Below are 2,176 nucleotides of genomic sequence, written 5' to 3'. Positions count from 1 at the left end.
TGTTATCATGTTTTCTTGATTTTTCCAGTTCTTTGTAGCCTTGCTTTGATGTGTGTGTATTTGAACAAGGAGTTACCTCTTCCAGACCTTACAGATAGGCTTCAGTTGGGAAAGATCTTCACCACAGATGGGTACAAGGGTGCTGGTCAGATGGGGTGCAGCAGCTTCTACTCTAAGGTGGTGCATTGGTATGAAATTCTAACAGCTGCATCAGCTGAGGTCAGTGTCAGCAAATACTATGGGGGCACTTGATGGCAAAATTTGTGGGTGTCCATGGCAGCAGCAATAGTTTCTTGGGCCCTTCTGTTCTCCATTTCTCCCACAGATGGAGTCTTCTCTGAGAAATATGGGCATATTTCTCAATGGTACCAGGGCCCAGAAAGTAGGTGCATGCATAGCAGTGGCAGCACTGGAGCCCAGGGAGATATATTAATATTAGAGACAAAAAGGTCAGGTGGCAATGGAAATACAAAGGGCAGGAAAATGCAAAAGTAGCTCTGAAGCAAAAAACGAAGAAAGATTTTGAAAGGGAGTAATTAAAGATGACTCAAAATCTCAATCCTGGAAAACAGGGACCTTATTGGTAATCTTAATGAAATTCATAACATTGGAAGATCATACTACATTAATAAAGATGCATGAGATTGATAGCTGATATTAATTTTGTCAATTATGGTATCTTCAATGTATCAAACATTGTGCTAAACATACAGTCTCATAAATTCTGACTTTAACCTTAAAAGATAGGTCCTAGTATTATTCCTCTTAACTATATATAAAGTAACTGACTCAACAAAAAATCTTAGGTCATTTTCAATGTTCAGACAAGTAGTAAATGGAAGAATAGATGTTTGTACCCACAAAAACTGACACCAAATATCCCAATAAAGATTATCGCTATTGTCTCTTCTTAACCACTGTGTTTTATTGCTTCCTCAGGGGTCTCAAAAGTCACCTACATACATGTGCTTAATGAATACAGAAGAGGAAATTGAAGTCCAGGAAGTTTAAGAAACTTTTTAAAAATCATGCAGTAAGTACCATATCCAGTCCCAGAGCCATGTGCCCTAGTGTTTTATTTAGTGCCCTTTAGAAACTTTACTCATAACAGGTACTTCATTCTAATAGAAAGCTTATTTTTCTACAATGTTCACCTCTGTCTCTTACCGTTCCCACAAACAAAATGCTGTTCTTAGGTGTAGGTAAAAAGTGAAATCTTAAAAATAAATTAGTGTTCAATCAGAGAAACCAATAAACCTCATTAGTCAATTATTCGAGGTAAATAATTGCATTTTCCTCAATAACGGGGTGTGTGGGTTTTTTATCTGAATCATTTGGTATTATATCATTAATCTTTTCAGTTCATTCTGCCAGTATTGGTAAGTGAAAATTATTCACTACAAGTGCTGAATAATTTGCATTTACCAATACTACATAAGAAAGTTTTCCTAAGGAGGCAAATTCGAGACAATAGTAATTTGGATGAGAATGTGTATCCTATGCTTCCATCTAGTGGTGGTCTTGCGCTATTACACGATGATGAAGACTGCTTTGCTTTAGTGTCATCCTCTTGCCTGTAAAACAGAGCAAGATTCTTCAGGTGTCCTCACTCGTATCACAGCTGATTCTGTATGCCAGGAAGGATGTGATAAGAGACTGAAACAAGGGTCGTGGGGGGGACGATGGTCTACTGGGTATGAAAAAACGATGATCTACTGGTTATCTGGTAATTCTGGGAACTGGAGAGGAAACAGGATTTCTGAGTGAGAGCAGGGTTTTTTGGAAGGATAGCAAATGCCCCCTACTGGCTGCTCTAGGCATGGCCAGTTATATTTCCAATGCATCAAAGCAAAACAGTTACGCGCAATTTGATGACGGGGACAAACTCAGAGAAATGCGTTGTTAGGTGATTTCCTCATTGTGCAAACATTGTAGAGTATACTTACACAAAACTCTATGGTCTAGCCTACTGCACACCTATGCTATATGATATTACTCCTAGGCCACAAACCTATACAGCACGTTATTATACCAAATACTATAGGCAATTGTAACACAATGGTACGTATTTGTGTATCTAAACATGTATAAACATAGACAAAATAGAAAAGGTTCAGTTAAAATGCAGTATAAAAGATGAATTGTATAGGGCACTTACCATGAATGGAGTTAACAG

General features: G+C 37.9%; 1 annotated feature.

The window, feature by feature from the left end:
• Positions 1,659 to 1,953: an enhancer, noted in NCBI's record as "tiled region #13337; K562 Activating DNase matched - State 12:CtcfO, and HepG2 Activating non-DNase unmatched - State 4:PromP". NCBI's record gives its function as "activates a minimal TATA promoter and a strong SV40 promoter by Sharpr-MPRA in K562 cells, with weak activation in HepG2 cells {active_cell/tissue: HepG2 | K562}" and the evidence as "EXISTENCE:reporter gene assay evidence [ECO:0000049][PMID:27701403]".

This window comes from Homo sapiens, chromosome 3 (assembly GCF_000001405.40).
Source record: "Homo sapiens chromosome 3, GRCh38.p14 Primary Assembly".
NCBI classification, from domain to species: Eukaryota; Metazoa; Chordata; class Mammalia; order Primates; family Hominidae; genus Homo; species Homo sapiens.
Note: the sequence above shows the minus strand (reverse complement) of the source record. Positions and strands in the feature narration are given on the sequence as shown.